The 17,148-nt window shown below is 44.3% G+C and overlaps 3 protein-coding genes across 9 annotated transcripts in view, besides 4 other annotated features; 1 reads left to right on the top strand and 2 right to left on the bottom strand.

Annotated features, from left to right (window-relative positions):
- TRIM6-TRIM34 (TRIM6-TRIM34 readthrough) overlaps positions 1 to 16,404 on the bottom strand; it is a 47,762-nt gene extending 31,358 nt beyond the window's left edge. Inside the window, exons 1-7 of the mRNA NM_001003819.4 lie at positions 16,127 to 16,404; positions 9,306 to 9,795; positions 8,412 to 8,507; positions 7,474 to 7,704; positions 4,647 to 4,669; positions 2,796 to 2,896; positions 2,480 to 2,506 (exon numbers count right to left, since the gene is read on the bottom strand). Of these exons, the coding sequence (NP_001003819.1) occupies positions 2,480 to 2,506; positions 2,796 to 2,896; positions 4,647 to 4,669; positions 7,474 to 7,704; positions 8,412 to 8,507; positions 9,306 to 9,795; positions 16,127 to 16,143 (985 nt within the window). The 5' untranslated portion in view covers positions 16,144 to 16,404. The remainder of the gene's footprint in view (positions 1 to 2,479; positions 2,507 to 2,795; positions 2,897 to 4,646; positions 4,670 to 7,473; positions 7,705 to 8,411; positions 8,508 to 9,305; positions 9,796 to 16,126) is intronic.
- Positions 1 to 17,148, top strand: part of TRIM5 (tripartite motif containing 5) — a 96,440-nt gene that overhangs the window by 72,034 nt on the left and 7,258 nt on the right. The window lies entirely within an intron of this gene.
- TRIM6 (tripartite motif containing 6) lies at positions 89 to 16,930 on the bottom strand. Of its 4 annotated transcripts, none has more exons than NM_058166.5 (8): positions 16,860 to 16,930; positions 9,306 to 9,795; positions 8,412 to 8,507; positions 7,474 to 7,704; positions 4,647 to 4,669; positions 2,796 to 2,896; positions 2,480 to 2,506; positions 89 to 2,264 (listed from the first exon to the last, which is right to left on the bottom strand). In NM_058166.5, the coding sequence occupies exons 2-8, from the start codon at positions 9,726 to 9,728 to the stop codon at positions 1,699 to 1,701; spliced, it is 1,467 nt and encodes a 488-aa protein (NP_477514.1). In that variant the 5' UTR covers positions 9,729 to 9,795; positions 16,860 to 16,930; the 3' UTR covers positions 89 to 1,698. The 4 variants fall into 4 exon arrangements, with proteins under 4 accessions (NP_477514.1, NP_001003818.1, NP_001185573.1 ...); NM_001003818.3 differs by lacking the exon at positions 16,860 to 16,930 and adding an exon at positions 16,127 to 16,404; NM_001198644.2 differs by lacking the exons at positions 9,306 to 9,795; positions 16,860 to 16,930 and adding an exon at positions 16,127 to 16,404.
- Positions 12,388 to 12,682: an enhancer, noted in NCBI's record as "tiled region #4679; K562 Activating DNase matched - State 5:Enh". NCBI's record gives its function as "activates a minimal TATA promoter and a strong SV40 promoter by Sharpr-MPRA in K562 cells {active_cell/tissue: K562}" and the evidence as "EXISTENCE:reporter gene assay evidence [ECO:0000049][PMID:27701403]".
- Positions 15,716 to 16,633: an enhancer, noted in NCBI's record as "NANOG-H3K27ac-H3K4me1 hESC enhancer chr11:5617638-5618555 (GRCh37/hg19 assembly coordinates)". NCBI's record gives its function as "activates a minimal SCP1, AML or CMV promoter by ChIP-STARR-seq in naive H9 embryonic stem cells {active_cell/tissue: H9 hESC(naive)}" and the evidence as "EXISTENCE:reporter gene assay evidence [ECO:0000049][PMID:30033119]".
- Positions 16,420 to 16,469: an enhancer, noted in NCBI's record as "active region_4326". NCBI's record gives its function as "activates an Ori minimal core promoter by ATAC-STARR-seq in GM12878 lymphoblastoid cells {active_cell/tissue: GM12878}" and the evidence as "EXISTENCE:reporter gene assay evidence [ECO:0000049][PMID:35858748]".
- Positions 16,788 to 17,082: an enhancer, noted in NCBI's record as "tiled region #11830; HepG2 Activating non-DNase unmatched - State 10:DNaseD". NCBI's record gives its function as "activates a minimal TATA promoter and a strong SV40 promoter by Sharpr-MPRA in HepG2 cells {active_cell/tissue: HepG2}" and the evidence as "EXISTENCE:reporter gene assay evidence [ECO:0000049][PMID:27701403]".

Here is a 17,148-nt window from a genome sequence, read left to right as displayed (position 1 = left end):
CAGAGTTGTCCAATAGAAATACAATGTAAGCCACATATGTAATTTTAAGGTTTCTAGTATCCACATTAAAAAAGTAAAATGAAACAGGTAAAATGAATAACATACTTTATTTAATCCAATAGAGCCAACATATTATCATTGCAATACACAAAGGAAAAGTTATTAGTGAGATATTTTACATTATTTTTTGAAGTAGGTATTTGAAATCTGGTATATATTTTATACATTGAGCACATCTCAATTCAGACTAGGCATGTATGAAGTACTCAACAGACATTGGTGGCTCCTGGATACCATATGGGACAGCCAGTGCCATTCTCATCCTTGATATTTGTTTCTACCCTCACATGTACCTCTTAATTTCTTTTATAGCTGGTTCAAAAAACATATTGCACCTCTCTACCAAAGTCATAGCAGCTCACTCAACAGCTGTTTGTTCCTGCGCATAAAGAGAGTGTGGAAAAGCTGGAAGAAATCATCCTCTTCCTTTAAGTGCTTTATATTGTTCATATTTTCTCTTTGTGTTTTCTTTCTATTCTGAGAGAAAAATATGTATTGGATTGTTTTTCTCTCCCCACTACTCTTTTGTTTTTACTGCAATTAATTTGAAAGACGTATTTTTTTTTATTGTTCTATTGCTACTCTTAAATGTAGAGAGGAAGGCCAAAGGTTGTAGTGAAGATTGTAGTGAAGACTCTCTTCAATTTGAGTTTGAAGCTACCCAAATTATCATTATAATGGTTTGGTTTTAGAGCTCAATCCTATACATACTTATACAAAAACAAAGTAATTTATTTGCTTATTATTGCATTTTATAGAACCTGGCAAAGATATTACAAGAATGTAAAAATACAGGCCAATTTCTTTCATTAACATAGATGAGAACAAAATCTAAACAATACGTTATCAAAATAAATCCAGTATTGCATACAACAAATAATAATGGTGTATTTCAGCAAGTTGTGGTAACAAATTGAAGTAAATCAATGTACTAAGCCACATTAACAGAACAAAAATGATACACAATTGTCTCAATAATTTACAGAAAAGACATAGGTAGAATACGAGTTTTCATTTTATACAAAAACTTGTAGTAAATTAACAGATCAGAACTTCCTAAATTTGATCCCCTGCATCAATCAAAAAAAACCTGCATCAAATACTATGCTTAATGGCAAAATACTGAAAGCGCCCCCTATCCACCTCAAGACCTGTCATCAGTCAAAGATGCTTACTCTCACCACTGGGTGCATCCTAGTACTGAGTAACTGTTTAAAACGAAAGAACTGTCTGGGCGCGGCGGCTCACATCTGTAATCCCAGCACTTTGGGAGACCGAGGCGGGTGGATCACTTGCGGTCAGGAGTTCGAGATCAGCCTGGCCAACACGGTGAAACCCTATCTCTATAAAAATACAAAAATTAGTTGGGCATGGTGGTGGGTGCCTGTAATCCCAGCTACTTGGGATGCTGAGGCAGGAGGTTCGCTTGAACCCAGGAGGCAGAGGTTGCAGTGAGCCGAGATTGCGCCAGTGCACTCCAGCCTGGGCGACAGAGCGAGATTCCATCTCAAAAAAGATTCAAAAACCAAAAAACAACAAAAGAATTGAGAACACAGAAAAACAGAAGATCAGAAGGGAGAATCACATGCTGATAAGCCTCAGGGTACTTATCAGAAGTGGGTGGGAACAGAAGAATATTCAAGAGCTTGGACGACGCAGGGTCATAGGAATTACACAGTTGCAAGGATTAAAATATGGACAAAGAGTAGTGGGAAAGTAATATTTAGAGAAAGTGTAGATGGGGAAGCCATGGTTTGTGACATTATAAAAGGAGACAGTACCAGCCTCATAATCTAAGAAAACCCCAACACGGCGAGGGGGCACTGTCATGGAGAGAAGCAGGGAAGGGGAAGAATCCTCATAGGCCCTATATTCATGGTTATGCTGTAACCCAATCACCCAGTATCCACTCTGAGGCTGATACCTGGAGTAAGCACTGTGATTTTGAGCAAAATGGTTGAAAGAGAATGTAGGTCCCAGTGAATTGCTGCATACCCCCAGGATCCAGGCAGTCTTCTTGGCCACATCTACCTCCCAGTAATGCTTACCAGAGGAGAAGTGCTGGGAGCCCAGGACACTACAGTCATAATGCTTTTCCAGACAGGAAGGTCCAGATACTTTAGCTCCCACAAACCTCACTTGTCTCCGGTTTTTAGCCAGGACAAGATTTAAATTAGCTGTGTGTGGATTCAGGGTCACGTCAACTGTAGGAAAAGGTACAACATCAGCAGATGAGAACGGGGACATGGGTCTCGTTATGCTGAGAAGAGGAAACACAGGAAGTGGTTGGAGGAACTGGAACTATATGGCGGGGATGGGGGAGGCATCAACACCTAGGATCTGTGTGGCTATGTCTGGGGAGGGCATGTGAAAGGAGATCAGAATGTGCCAGCCCAAAGAGGCCATGGCTTCTACTTACCCCAGTAGCTTTGGACATCTGTCAGCTCTGTAATGATGAAAAGAGTCAATAATGTTGAATAGGACCAACTGTCTCATGTCTGGTATCTCTCTCCTTACTACATTGAGGGGAATGGTGAGGAATCCTGTGAGGATGTCACCTGGCCATTTCATCTCCCCTTAAATACAAACCGCATCTTCTTCAGCACACTATGTCCCTCCCTCTGGGACCTCCCTCTTTGCCACTATGCTCAAATACCGACTATAGCCTCTATCCCGTTTATTTCTTCCCACGACAGTAATTTCACATCCAAACTCTTTCCCCTGAATCTCCTTACCTCTACACACTCGCAGCATCCTTTTCAGATCTGGGGCTCGGAACATACTTCTCAGCTTTGTAGGGAGAGCTTCTGGCTTCCTCAGGGTCCAGAACTCACTCCTAGAAAGGACAGGACTTCTGAGTTCCCACACTGCTGACTGTGGGTTCCTCCACCACCCATCTCCCTTACCTCCCAAGCCTACTGATGAATTCCAATCCTCCTTTCTGAATACACTTAGCATCATTCTGCAAACAGCCCTGGCACTGGAGCCAGAAGAGCTAGACTAGAAACTATCATCTCACCATCTACATAAACTTGTGTAAGATTTAACTTTTTTTTTTGAGAAGGAGTCTCGCTCTGTCACCCAGGCTGGAGTGCAGTGGCACGATCTCGGCTCACTGCAACCTCCACCTCCCAGGTTCAAGCGATTCTCCTGCCTCAGCCTTCTGAGTAGCTGGGACTACAGGCGCGTGCCACCACGCCTGGCTAATTTTCTTGTATATTTAGTAGAGATAGGGTTTCATCATGTTAGCCAGGATGGTTTTGATCTCCTGACCTCGTGATCTGCCCTCCTCAGCCTCCCAAAGTGCTGGGATTACAGGTGTGAGTCACTGCGCCTGTCCAAGATTTAACTTCTTAAAGTCTCATTTTGTTTTTCTGTTGTTGTTTTTAGAAAATACTATAATTTTCCTTTTTCTGTGTCCTAGAGATGTTATGCAGTTCAGTAAAATAATGGCTTGGAAATCTTTTGCTACCTCTAAAAAAAGATATAAAATATTTAAAATCAGAGGGGTTGAAGATGTCTGGGTTGACAGGCAGAACACCAGGGGCCTATTGCTGGGGCTTTGAAAGTATCAAATGAAGGGGTTTCTTCAGAAGAGTCTGTGGGCTTAGGCCCTGGGATTTCTCAGAAAACCTTCAAAACAGCATTTTAGGATTTGCCGTCTCTGGGAATGTTATGCCACTAGCTGGAGAAAAGATGTCCTCACCTCCAAACGGAGAGTACAGATTTCAGAAGGGACGATAGGGTTCCCATTTCGTGTGTCTGTGAGGAGCATGGAGGAACCAAGTGTGCAAGCAGCTTGACATGTCACCTTGTTGGATGAGACTCTGGAGTATGTGATAGAGAACATGTTTGATTCCCGGGCTAAATTATTATCCTCCAGAGCTCGGGTTTACGTTTTTACTGGAATTGAGACAAAAGAAAATCTACTAGGGAGCAAGGCCTGGGAGAAAGAAAAACTTAAGGCAGATGTGCCAAGACCAAATTCTTAGACCTTGAGAAATAATGCAGATGGGAATGTCACTCTGATAAAATTCACGGGCAGGAAGGTGCAGTGAGCCGAGATCACACCACTGCACTCCAGCCTGGGCGACAGAGTGAAACTCTGTCTCAAAAAAAAAAAAAAAAAAAAATTTATGGGCAAAGAAAATTCCTGTGTATTTTGAGGTAACTATAAACTTAAGAATCAGGGATGAAAGCAGGCACAGAGGTTTATGGAAAAGTACACTAACAGGGTACTTGGGGAGTCACTGATACTGCAACTCTTTATTCATTTTTTTTTGTTTGTTTGAGGCAGAGTCTCCCTTTGTCTCCCAGGCTGGAGTGCAGTGGCGCAATACTGCAACTCTTTATTCTAAATAACAGTACTGTCCCCACCTACTGACCTCCCATCACCCACATTTTCCTACCAGAGAGGCCAGTTCATCCCCTTTATTTGGGGATGCCAAAACTCCATGTGATGCGCGATTCAAGACTACTCTCTTGAATCTTCCCCACTCTGATTCTTCTTCCCTTTCCCACTGATCATGGGTAAAGGAATCATTTGTCAGTCCAGGGGAACTACCTCATGTTCTCCTTACACATACCTTTCTGTGACATCACTCACATCCTAGGAAGGAAAAAGACAGGTTAAGTCAAGGAGTAACAGGTCATGCCCTTATCCACATTTCTCCTTCCATGTCCCCTACCCCATGATATGATACAAATAAAGATAATCCTAATGTGGAGGCCACAAAGTAGAGAAAAAACTCAGGGCAGACTGTCCCTAAGAACCCATGTGAAGACATCAAAAAATAACTCAATTGACTCATCAGTGTCTTGATTTTCACAACATTGTGTGTGTGCATATGTGTGTGTAATGTTATGTATGTATAGCATGTATTATTTGTCAGGCATTGTGCCTGGCCTAGAGAACCTCAGATGATGAAGTCATAATTTCTATCCTTGAGTAGCTTACATCCTGTTCTGGTTGCTGAAGATACAGGCTCATGGACTTTATATATGGCTGTTTCTCAAACTTCACCTTCTCTAACCTTCTACCCTACCTTTGCTGACTTCATCCATTTCCTTCATTTTAATGTACACATGTTGATGATTCTCAAATCTGTACTTCTGCTCAGCCCCCTTTCCTTATGATTTTGATTAATATATACACCAGCAAATATGTCACAGGTACCTCAAATGCAAGATGTTTAAAAGAACTTAGTTCGGCAACTCTTGTCTCCCTTCCATCCTACTGAATCACACTAGCAACCACTTAAGTCACCAAATTTAAACAAAATAGGAAATAACTACCATATATTCACCCTGGCATCCTATCTTTGCCCAAGTCAGTCCACTTCACATCCTCAATTTCATTTGGTCACCAGTTGTTCACCTTTATCACTGCCACTGCTAGTCTCATTTCTGTGGAATTGGCCTATTCCTTTCTATTTGGTCTTTTTATCTTGTGCTCCATACATCTCAATGACCCCGAAGAAAAGCTTAAGTTTGGTCCACATAATACAGGATTAACTATTTTCTCTGTATTAGGGCTGTTTATGGTGGCATTTCATAGAGGCACAACTCAAACTGGCTTGAACATAGAATGTGGTAGAGGTGCTGTGTGTGTCAATTTGCAGTAAATATCCAGGATTGTATCAATCTTACATTGTGGCTGTACTGAGGAACTGAAATGATCAAATCGATGTGCTATTTCATGTGGCTACTTCTCTTATGTTGGCTTTATGTCCATATTTTGAAGCTTTTATCTTGGCTATAAAATATTTTTTTTTTTTGAGATGGAGTCTTGCTCTGTCGCCCAGGCTGGAGTGCAGTGGTGCGATCTCGGCTCACTGCACGCTCCGCCTCCTGGGTTCGCGCCATTCTCCTGCCTCAGCCTCCCGAGTAGCTGGGACTACAGGCGCCCGCCACCACGCCCGGCTAATTTTTTTGTGTTTTTAGTAGAGACGGGGTTTCACCGTGTTAGCCAGGATGGTCTCAATCTCCTGACCTCATGATCCGCCTGCCTCGGCCTCCCAAAGTGCTGGGATTACAGGCGTGAGCCACCGCGCTCGGCCTTGGCTATAAAATCTTAATGGGCAACAATTCACACAGATATGGAAAAGAGAAAGAACAATGTCTGTGATGGGAAAATTCCAGAAAGTTTATTTTTAGAAAAGACTACTCAAGTTTAAATGTCCGTGGGGCAGTCATACTAATGAATGTGGAAGTGTCTAAACTAGCAATATGAATTGACGATTCATTTGCATTTAAAAAATATTTACAGTTTGAGGACTGTTGAGGAGCCAGAACAAAAGGTGAAGGAGAAAGTATCAGGGTAATAATATCAATGATGAGGACAAAAAGGCAAGAAGAATAAAATGAAGATGCAAAGCAGGAAGCAGTGAATGAGAAAAAGCTGTAACAGGCAGAAAGTAGCTACCCATGGCTCTAATACTAAGACCCAAGAATATGTAAATAAACAATTATTCCACCAAGAAAGAAGGAGCAAGAGGAAAGCACGAAGACAAACAAAATATAAAGAATATCTTACACTCTGAAGGTTACAGAATATCACAAGCTACATCATGCCTCAAATTCACAACCACACTATTCATTCTATGCAGAAAATAGCTGCTAGAATTTCAACCTCAGTTCAAGTCCCTCCATCAAATCTCTCTAGGCTTGATACCTTGTAATCTGCGACCTACACACATACAGACCAGAGCCCAGACCCCCAAAACCAGTTCAAATATCAATTGCTACAGTATGTTAAATGATTCTGCTCTAGAGAAGAGAGTGAAAACAAAGAAGGGCTGGTAATACATCATCTCTAAGAATTTAGCTTGGCGTAAGTGTGCCTGTGACTAAGCTGGGTAAGAAGCACTTGGCAAATTCCCAACACAGCATCAGAGACGAGAGGTGCCTAATGAACAGTGGTTCTCAACTGGGAGAGCACTGTGTTCACCCTGGGGCTATCGTGGCAATGTCTGAAGAAATTTGGGGTTGTCACATCTGGGGTGGTGCTGCTGACATCTAGTGAGCAGAGGCCAGAGACGCTGCTAAGCATCCTACAATGTACAGGAGAACCCCACGCAGCAAAGAATTATCCAGCCAGAAATGTAAATAGTGCCAAGACTGAGAAAGAAAGAACAACATCACTGGATACAACAGAACTTCTCCACAGCATCAAATAAACTTTTAGACAACCCTTTATAAATAAAAATGGGACTTTCCCTTGCATTTGTACTCTGAATTATCTTACGCTTTACTCCATACCTCTAAACAGTTTAATAGGGGATAGGCACTATAGCGCCAAAGGAATGTTTTCTCTTGTCCCTGCAACGATGGTAGTCTGATGTCCCAGAAAGGAAGGAAAGTTAGTTTCTCTTTTCCTTGACTCTCAGATCTGGGCTCCTTCACAAGCCTTACCTGCAGCAGCTCCATTGTTGACCCCTGACATCGACGCTCCAGATCCGAGATGAGCTCTCGCAGCGACTGGGTCTGGTGGACCAGATCATTCTCAGCCTCTTCTATAATTCGTAGCCCCTTCTTCTCTTCCTGTTCCAGCTTTTTCAGCTCCCGTTGCTCCACTCTGTCTAGGATATTTCGCAGCTGATTAAACTCTGTCTGGATCCTGCATCTCTCAGGCTCCATCTGATTCTTCAGGAACAGGGAAGAAAAAGAGGCTGCTAGTCGGTCACACTGAGGGTCTCCTCTATTAAAAGCGGGGAAGTTGGGCTCAGGACTGCTTTCCTGGGCCAAGCCTCCCAGGGAGAGGGAGGGTAAATGCTGCAGGAGAAAGCCTTTGTAGCCTGTTCTTTCCTTCTTTTCTCCCTTCAGCTCTGCCCAGACCATTGGCCCCGGGCTGCTTTATCTAGGCCATCTAGACATCAACTGTGATTCCTGGGTGACGTTTAGATTCCAGGAAGCCTCCCTCACCTCTGCATCAGCCTCCTCTTCCAATTTCGAGTACTGAGGTGGAAATCACTGGCCTGTGACTAACCTGTCTCAGATCTGGGCTTCTTCACAAGCCTTACCTGCATTTTCCCTTGCATTTGTACTCTGAATGCAAGGGAAAAGCCAAAGAGACTGAAACTGTAGAGCAAGACCCAGAATTATGAATTGGGGCGACCCCTAGCCATGGTTCCTCTGCTATGTGATTGTCTCCTAGGTTCAGTTTTGATATATTTGCTATTTACCTCCTCTCCTCCCCCTGTTTGGAAGGAATATAGTGGAGGACCAGGCAAAGGGAAGCTCTTCTAGTCATGGCATCAGAGGACAGACAGGACAAGGACTCCTTTGCCCTCAGCTCCTATGACCTGCCATGATTCCTGCCCCAGGACATCTTCAGAAAAAGTCTCCCTTGCCTTCCAGGATGTTTTCTTCTCTCTGATAAAAGCTGTTAGCTTCTCAGCTTCCTGCTCCTCGTTCTTCAGCTTCTTTAGAGACTCCTGAAACTTCTCCTTGAAGAAAACAAATCAGGTCAAGCAGGATCAAGCCTTCAGTTGACTCAGTACCCAGACATAGAATGAATGGGACAGAGATTCTGCTAACCTCAAAAGAAGCCTGTCCTAACCTAGGATGAAAACTTGAGAGGGCCAACAAATCTTTTATATATATACATGGGATGAAAACCAACAGGGATAGGCTGATTCTCCATCCCCCTTGGGAAGGTGCCTGACCACAAAGCACCTGTGGCTCACGCCTGTAATCCCAGCACTTTGGGAGGCTGAGGCGGGTGGATTGCCTGAGCTCAGGAGTTTGAGATCAGCCTGGGCAACATGGCAAAACCCCATCTCTACTAAACACACACACACACGCACACACACACACAATTAGCTGGGCATGGTGGTGCACACCTACAGTCCTAGCTACTTGGGAGGCCAGGCACGAGAACTGCTTGAACCCGGGAGGCGGAGGTTGCAGTGAGCCGGGATCGCACCACTGCACTCCAACCTGGGCGACAGAGCGAGACGCCTTCTCAAAATAAATACATGAGTAAATAAATTCCTTTACCTACCCTGCCAACATATCTCCACACTCAATCAACCAAGTACCCCTTTTACCCCAAGCAGCTCTATCTACTCAATCTGGAATAGCAAGTAAATGATAAAGAATCTATTCTTAATCAGGGAGGCAGTTTCCAGGTTCATTCTCTAGGTAAATAAAGACTACAAAGAGATTAGATCAGAGCATGATAAAACGTTAAAACCTGCCAAAGACCCTGTTTCTCTGTCTCCCATTCCATCCTGGGGTCTCACCTGGTACTCCTGGGCAACCTCCTCCACGAGGAACGTGTGGTGACCACGGTGCTCCTGAGACCGCTCACAAAGCCAGCAAATGACCTTCCCATCCTCCTGACAGAAGAGCTGCAGTTTTTCTCCATGGTCTGCACAAAGAACTGCTTTCAGCTGCTTCCCAGGGCCCAACACTACCTCTCTGAGCCGCCTCACTATGTTGGCCAGATGCCGATTAGGCCGCAGGTTCCCTGGCTGGTAGCTGGTCTGGCACACAGGGCAGCTTCTTTCCCCTTCTTGACCAATCACTGATTCCCTGCCATTTGGTGTGATGCAGGCTTGGCAGAAGCTGTGGCCACAGTCTATGCTCAGGGGTTCTGTTAGGAGCTCCAGGCAGATAGGGCAGGTCACCTCTTCTCGTATGTCCACCAGTACTGGTGAAGTCATTGTAGCTACTCTCCTGGCTCCTGCCTGCCCAACCCTGATTTCTAAGATGTTTCCTGCCTGTAGAATCCTAGGTAGATGAACAAACAAAAAAAGGATCAGGGTAAGAAAGGAGGGAGAATAAGGGAATACTGACTGCCCAGTCCTGGATAAAGAGGTCAGACACCTGGGGTAACAAGGGCTTCTCATTCTCATATCCAATACGTTCTTTATCCCGGCTCATACAAGGCACCAATTTCTCCCCATATTAAAGCAGTGATAATTTCCTCTTGCTCCTATTGAATAGAGACAAACTGAGGCCCTGGAAAGGAGGGGCCTGTGTGAGTCACTGTCTGTGTGATCTTTTCTTTTTTTTCTTTTTTGAGATGGAGACTCACTCTGTCACCCAGGCTGGAATGCAGTGGTACAATCTCAGCTCACTGCAATCTCCGCCTCCCAGGTTCAAGCAATTCTCCTGCCTCAGCCTCCTGAGTAGCTGGGATTACAGGCACGTGCCACAACACCTGGCTAGTTTTTGTATTTTTAGTAGAGATGGAGTTTCACCATGTTAGCCAGGGTGGTCTTGAACTCCTGACCTTAAGTGATGCTCCTGCCTTGGCCTCTCACAGTGCTGGAATTACAGGCATGAGCCACCGCACCTGGAGACTGTGTGACCTTTTCTCACCCAAAACATATCCTCAATGTTAAAAGCACCTAAAACACACTGCTGCCTCAGGATTTTTGCATTTGTCGTTCGTGATGTAAAGATGACCCTTTACTCTGCTATCTGCATGACTTACTAGCTTCCTACCTATTCCCTTATCAGAAGGGTCTGCTCTGACTAGTCTATTTAGAGCACAGCCACCATACAATCACTCTCCACATATTCACCTCATTAGGGGGTCTTGCTCTGTCGCCCAGGCTGGAGTGCAGTGGCGTGATCTCGACTCACTGCAAGCTCCGCCTCCTGGGTTCAAGCCATTCTCCTGCCTCAGCCTCCCGAGTAGCTGGGATTACAGGTGCCTGCCACTATGTCCGGCTAATTTTTTTTGTATTTTTTAGTAGAGATGAGGTTTCACTGTGTTAGCCAGGATGGTCTCGATCTCCTGACCTCATGATCCGCCCGCCTTGGCCTCCCAAAGGGTTGGGACTACAGGCATGAGCCACTGCACCCGGTCTATTTTACTTCTTACACCACTTAATACAGATCTTTACTTGTTTGAATCCTCGCAGTGAAATGTAAGCTCCATGAGATCTGAGACTTTTTGTTCATGGTTGTATCTTCGGCAGCTAGCATAGAGCCTGACATATAGGTCCTCAACTTTGGATGAATGAGGGGGTCAGAACCCCCTCATCCTCTACAGTGATCATCTGTGACCTTTCCATGAGCTCTTTCACCTCTCTGCCATCACCTTTGCATCACTCTCTGGTATCTGATCTCTAAGACTGTGAAAACACTTCCACTTCTTAACGGCCCTGCTCCACATAGAGCCCTCTCACCACATGCTCGCCTTCTCAGAAAAAAACCAAAGAAACAGCAATGGCCACAATAAGGGGTGGTAATTTTTTTGTTGTTGTTGAAACTGAGTCTTGCTCTATCGCCCAGGCTGGAGGGCAGTGGCACTATCTCGGCTCACTGCAACCTCTGCCTCCCGGGTTCAAGCGATTCTCGTGCCTCAGCCTCCTGAGTAGCTGGGATTACAGGTGAGCGCCACCATGCCCAGCTAATTTTTGTATTTTTAGTAGAGACAGGGTTTTACCATGTTGGCCAGGCTGATCTCGAACTCCTGACCTCAAGTGATCTGCCTGCCTTGGCCTCCCAAAGTGCTGGGATTACAAGCGTGAGCCACTGCGCCCAGCCTGGGGAGGTAATATTTTTACAACTCATGATTCTGTAACCAGTTGTGATTTAGAAATCACATTCTCTTGCTTTCTTTATCCCTCATGGACAACTCTGCATAAATAAGAGTATTCTCCATTCTTTAATAAGAAGAGACATTAAGTGACTTTACACAATCATGCACCTTGTAAGTTGTAGAATTGGCATAACCTAACCTTTCCAGGGTGCTAGTTCAAAGCTTCGTCCTCAAACTCATAACTTTGACCAAAGACAGTCAGTGGTAAAGGCTGTGAAAGTCAGGCATGGACCAAGTGCTTTCGAAGTATGGAAATGAGAGAGATCCTATTTGATGATGGGATTTTGCCAGGGCCTGTCTTAAACTTCAGCAGGATCCTAAGGGGGTCCATATGTAAGGAGAGGTGGCCGGTAAGGCAGTTGAGACCTTATATCTTCATTGAGAAATATGACCTTTATTGTCTATTTTTCTTGGAAGAGTTGTTGATAAATTACGTTACCATTGTTTAAAATCACACTGAGAATACTCTTTAGAAAATTTTTAAAACTGTTTCCAGCACTGAGTTATTTTCACTGGGAGCCATTTGTTCTGCTTGTCTACCTGGAGTTGTGTTTGGGCCACCAAAGAAGAGCCAGCTAACACTGCCTATGTGAAGCTCTGGCCCTGGTTCCAGGCGTGACCTCGCTGTTCTGAACAGGCCACAGTGCGTAGGGAGCAGGCAGAATTCTCTAACTTGTCTTTGGCTGGTTTCCCAGCAAAAGTAAATGTACACTGATGTAAAAAACAGTCCGTGTGGGCCTCAACACAAGGCCCTGTAAATTGTACCAATTTACCCCCATCTTGAGGACCTGGTGGATTTAAAAAGTATATCAAACTGCCTCCCAATAACAACACTCCCCTTAGAAGAAAGGGCCTGAGAAAGTGTCTCAGATAAGGGTAAGAAAAAGTCATGGGATGTAAGCATAAGCCTCCTAGCGGCCCTGCTGGGGGATCTAGCGAGCCGAAAACAGGTTCTTGGCGCTGCCATCTAGTGTTCTGTGGTGCTTCTGCAAGTACTAGCCTGGCTCTTCAGCTTTGCCATGCTTAGCAGCAGCGATGCTCACAGCAAATATCTACAGAAAGCCCATTAGGTATTCAGCAAGAATTTAATTATTTTGTACATAATAACTCAATAATTCCACATAACAACATTATGAATGTCCCTTAAATCTCATCTCATAGTTGTATAAACTGGTATTTAGTAGATCTTTCAAGTGGCGGGGCCGGTGTTGAATGCAGATACGCAGGCTGCAGAGCTGGAGCTCTTATTACTCCCTTATATTCCTCATCTCCATAAAGGGTGCAAAATATAATTAACAAATTAATGAACTCTGTGCATCTAACTGGTAGTACTAATTGGTGTTACAGACGTATTTACCTATCATCTGAGAGTCTGTTTAACCAAATTAATCACACCTGTGGGAACTGCACTATTATTTCCTTTGTTAATATCTCCTACCATACCCACATCATCTCACTTAGCACACTGCACTATAAGGCTCTATTGCCTTTGATAATAGAGGCAATAGAGGCTCTAGAGGCAATAGAGGCTCTATTTATCTTCCAGGTGCCCCAGACCTTAGCACTGCAGCTAACACAGGAAATGATCAATTAACTTTATAATGGATTGAAAATTATAGCTTACTGCTGAGCTTATAGTTGGCCTTGATGTTGGCACTAGAGTATAGAAATAAATGTGCTATCTTATCAAAGTGTTACTGTTAAAAAATAATTGTGTTGGCCGGGCGCGGTGGCCCAAGCCTGTAATCCCAGCACTTTGGGAGGCTGAGGCAGGCGGATCACAAGGTCAGGAGATCGAGACCATCCTGGCTAACACGGTGAAACCCTGTCTCTACTAAAAATACAAAAATTTAGCTGGGTGTAGTGGCGGATGCCTGTAGTCCCAGCTACTCGGGAGGCTGAGGCAGGAGAATGGCGTGAACCCGGAAGGTGGAGCTTGCAGTGAGTCGAGATCGTGCCACTGCACTCCAGCCTGGGCGACAGAGCGAGACTCCGTCTCAAAATAAATAAATAAATAAATAAATAAATAAATAAATATAATAATTGTATTGGTATTATATTTTAATTGAAAGTCCAATTCCAATTCATCCTCCCCAACAAACACATGCACACTTTCATTTCAGGCAAAACTGTATTTAGCGTACCCAATTCTCTTGAAGGAGAACTACTGCCTCATAAATGCAATGTAGTAATAGTCCCAAACTGAAAAGAATCCATGACATCACTAACTGGTAAATGAACAAACTGTGGTGTATCCATACAGTGGCATATTACCAAACAATTAAACTGTTAATATATACAACAAGATAAATCTCAAAAGCATGCAAAGTGAAAGAACCCAAACATCAAATTTAAGTTATTGTATGATGCTATTTATGTGAAATCCTAGAAAAGAGAAAGCTATGGTATTTGAAAGTACATCAGTGGAAGCCAGGGCCCAGGAGTGGGAGAAAAGTTTGAACTGCAAAGGGCATAAGGAAATTTGAAGGGTGAATACATAAAGGGAAATGCCCTTTATGTATCATGATCATGGTGGTGGTTACACAGCTGACTGCAACTGTGAAAATTCACAGAACTGTATGCTTACAATTTGTAACTTACTAGATAGAACTCAATAAACTGACAGAAACAAAAAAATACAAGAAAAATTAAAAGCTTGGTTTCTGATCTTCTAAGCATAATGGAACTGTGTTGTCAAACATGTAGCCAGATATGGCTCTTGAGCATTTGAAGTGTGGCTACTCAGAAATGGGTTGCTTTAGGTACAAAATACACATTGGATTTTGAAGATTTAGTTTAAAAAAGTTAAAGGATCTTATTAATTTTTTTATGTTGATCACATGTCCTAATTGTATTTTGCATGTATTGGGTTAAATGAAATGTATTAAAATTAATTTCACCCGCTTATTTTTAATGAGGCTACTTGAGTATGTAACATTACATATGTGGCTTCATTCTATTTCTAGTTCATTATATGTCTTTTTCCTATCTAATATGCGCTGTAGATATTCATCTAATACTCTCTTTAGACAGAGAAAAATTCTTGAGCAGAAAAAAGATTTGTAAGAGTTGAGGTCTCTTGTCAAAGCTGAGGCTTGGGAAAGAAATTGTGAAGGAGGGGAGCATACAGTTAGCATAGGTGACCCTTGCCCACACACCAGCAAGCCCTGACTGCCCACTGCAGCTAAGTGCAGCCCAAGGGAGATATGGGAGGCTGCCAGTTTCCAACTGAGGCCAAGTCTCCAGAGCAGTGTGGACGGGCTGAGAGAAGGCATTCTGACTGTGAGGAGTGCAGACGAGAAGAGCCTGCAGTCCCAGAGCCCAGTGCATCAAATTAGCAGAAGAAAGAGCCCAAATTCACAACCAGGTGGGACCAATTAAATCAGAACCAGACGCCTGAAAAAGGTCTGCTAACTAGCAACACTGCAAGCACTTGGAGTTCTTTATGCAGAATCTCAGTCTTTCCTGGAATGATTCAGAATCTGCACTTTAATATTAAAGTTCTCTAGGTGATTCTTACGCACATTAAGGCTTCAGAAGCACTGCCTTAGATAAAGGACCTTCTTTCCCAGGTGGATACAATTTAGGGTGCAAAACAGCTAGAAGAGGGAGGGGGACAGAGAATGGCCTGCTATTTAGATACGAAGCATCTTTTAGAATGGAAGCTTGCATCGATATCAAAATGGCTTTCAGAATAAAAATCAGTGACTCAGCAGGGGATACTGGGGCTGGTGTAGGCTGGGGGTTCAGAGTTAGGAATGACAGAGCGGGCCCGTCCACCAGCTGGGAGCCCTAGTGAAAGTGGAATAAAATAGGTGGCAGTTGCATTTATAAGTGAGTTGGGCATGAGTTCTTGCACTTTAGGAATAACATTTTTTTTTATCTTTGTGTAGGGTTATATTTAACCTATTATCTGCAATTGATTATCTAACAGGACTCAATAAATATTTGAATTGGAACATAATCAGTTTCAAAACAAAAAATTTAATTTCCACTTCAAAAGAATTTCTACCCCCTGCATTTCAGAAACCTATAATTTAAAAATTGTTTTGATTGTGCATTTTTTTAAAGCTAGGCATGGAGTTTGCCAGTAATAATGACCATAATTTGTGTCAGGCAGCCTCCTACGTGTTTAAATCTGTCTCACTCAATCCTCACCAAAACTCTAAGATATACATATTACTCCGTCCATCTTATAGATGGAAGAAACTAAAGCTCAAAGAAGTCAAGTTAACAGTCTTCGGGCACACAGCCAGTGTCTGTCAGAGTCAGGATTTGAACACATGCAGTCTGGCTGCGGCATCTATGCTCCTAACCACACATTTCTGTCTCTATTGACTGACTGATTAAAATGTCTCTAACCTCAGTGGGGTCATTTGCAGTGAGAAAGAAAAAGAAATAAAGATATAATGAGTTCCGAAAGGGAAAGGACCTTATCTCTTTCACTGCCCTGTCACCTCTGCCAGAAGTGACAATAAGAGCCAGTCAACAGAACGGTAGACATACCTCTCTGACCCGCACATCTGGGGAATGAGAAGCCAAGAAGTTCCAGATGTAAGCAATATCAGGTGGTCAAAGCTCTTCAGAGCAATCCAAGGCACCTTAAACTAATCTTAAGGAACAGAGCGCGCTCACTCGGCTTTTATCTAAACTCAACCACGCACGACTCTGCTCCGTTCCGTTCCGAGAAAGGCAGGGGATCCCTCCTCCGCCAGCCTTTGGCCGTTGAACGGACGGACCCACAGGTCAGGAGTTTGCGGAAGGCTCATCTCCCAACTCCTTCTGGGAGGAGTCGGGCCGCCTGGGGTGGGGGATAAACGGTGCTCACTTCCTGGAGCGGCCAGGCTGGAGATGGGGGAGGGGAAGGGGGAAGGGGGAAGGGGGAAGGGGGAAGGGGGGAAGGGGAGAACGGGGGAAGGGGGGAAGGGATGCTGACTCTGAATCCACGCCTGACAAAATGGTTTGCAGTGATTCCCTAAAGCAGTTTCCAGAGCTGCCTCCTCTACATACTTCAGCTTGTAGAATAGAGGTTTAACTCTCTTTACACGGCCTATTCCCAGCTGCAAAGGTGCCTCTTCTGTGCTCCCTTCCCAAACTTGAGTTCACTTGAAAATGCAGAAGTCTCCCTCATTCTTCTTTCACCCGTGAACCACCCCCAACCCGACCTGCAGAGCGGGTCAAACTCTCCAGACAAGTGGGGACAGCGGTAGCTGGCCAGAAAATAAACTTGCTCACTAACCTGGAATCTGTGGCCTGGATCAGAGCCAAGGACTTGAAGCAGCCGCGTCCTCCACCCAGGCCGAAAGACTCAGGGGGGAAGGGGCGGGGCCTGGGGAGGAGGAGGGTCAAATTGTCCAGCCCCGCAGGAGATCCAGCCGATTCCATGGGTGTGGTCACCAGTGACCCCTCAGGTGGTAAGGGAGATGGAGATGGTTTCTGAGGCCAGGCGCGGTGGTTCACCCCTGTAATCCCAGCACTTTGGGAGGCCGAGGCGGGCGGATAACGAGGTCAGGAGATTGAGACCATCC

This window comes from Homo sapiens, chromosome 11 (genome assembly GCF_000001405.40).
Source record: "Homo sapiens chromosome 11, GRCh38.p14 Primary Assembly".
In the NCBI taxonomy this organism is placed as follows: Eukaryota; Metazoa; Chordata; class Mammalia; order Primates; family Hominidae; genus Homo; species Homo sapiens.
This window is presented reverse-complemented; position numbering and strand designations above follow the sequence as displayed.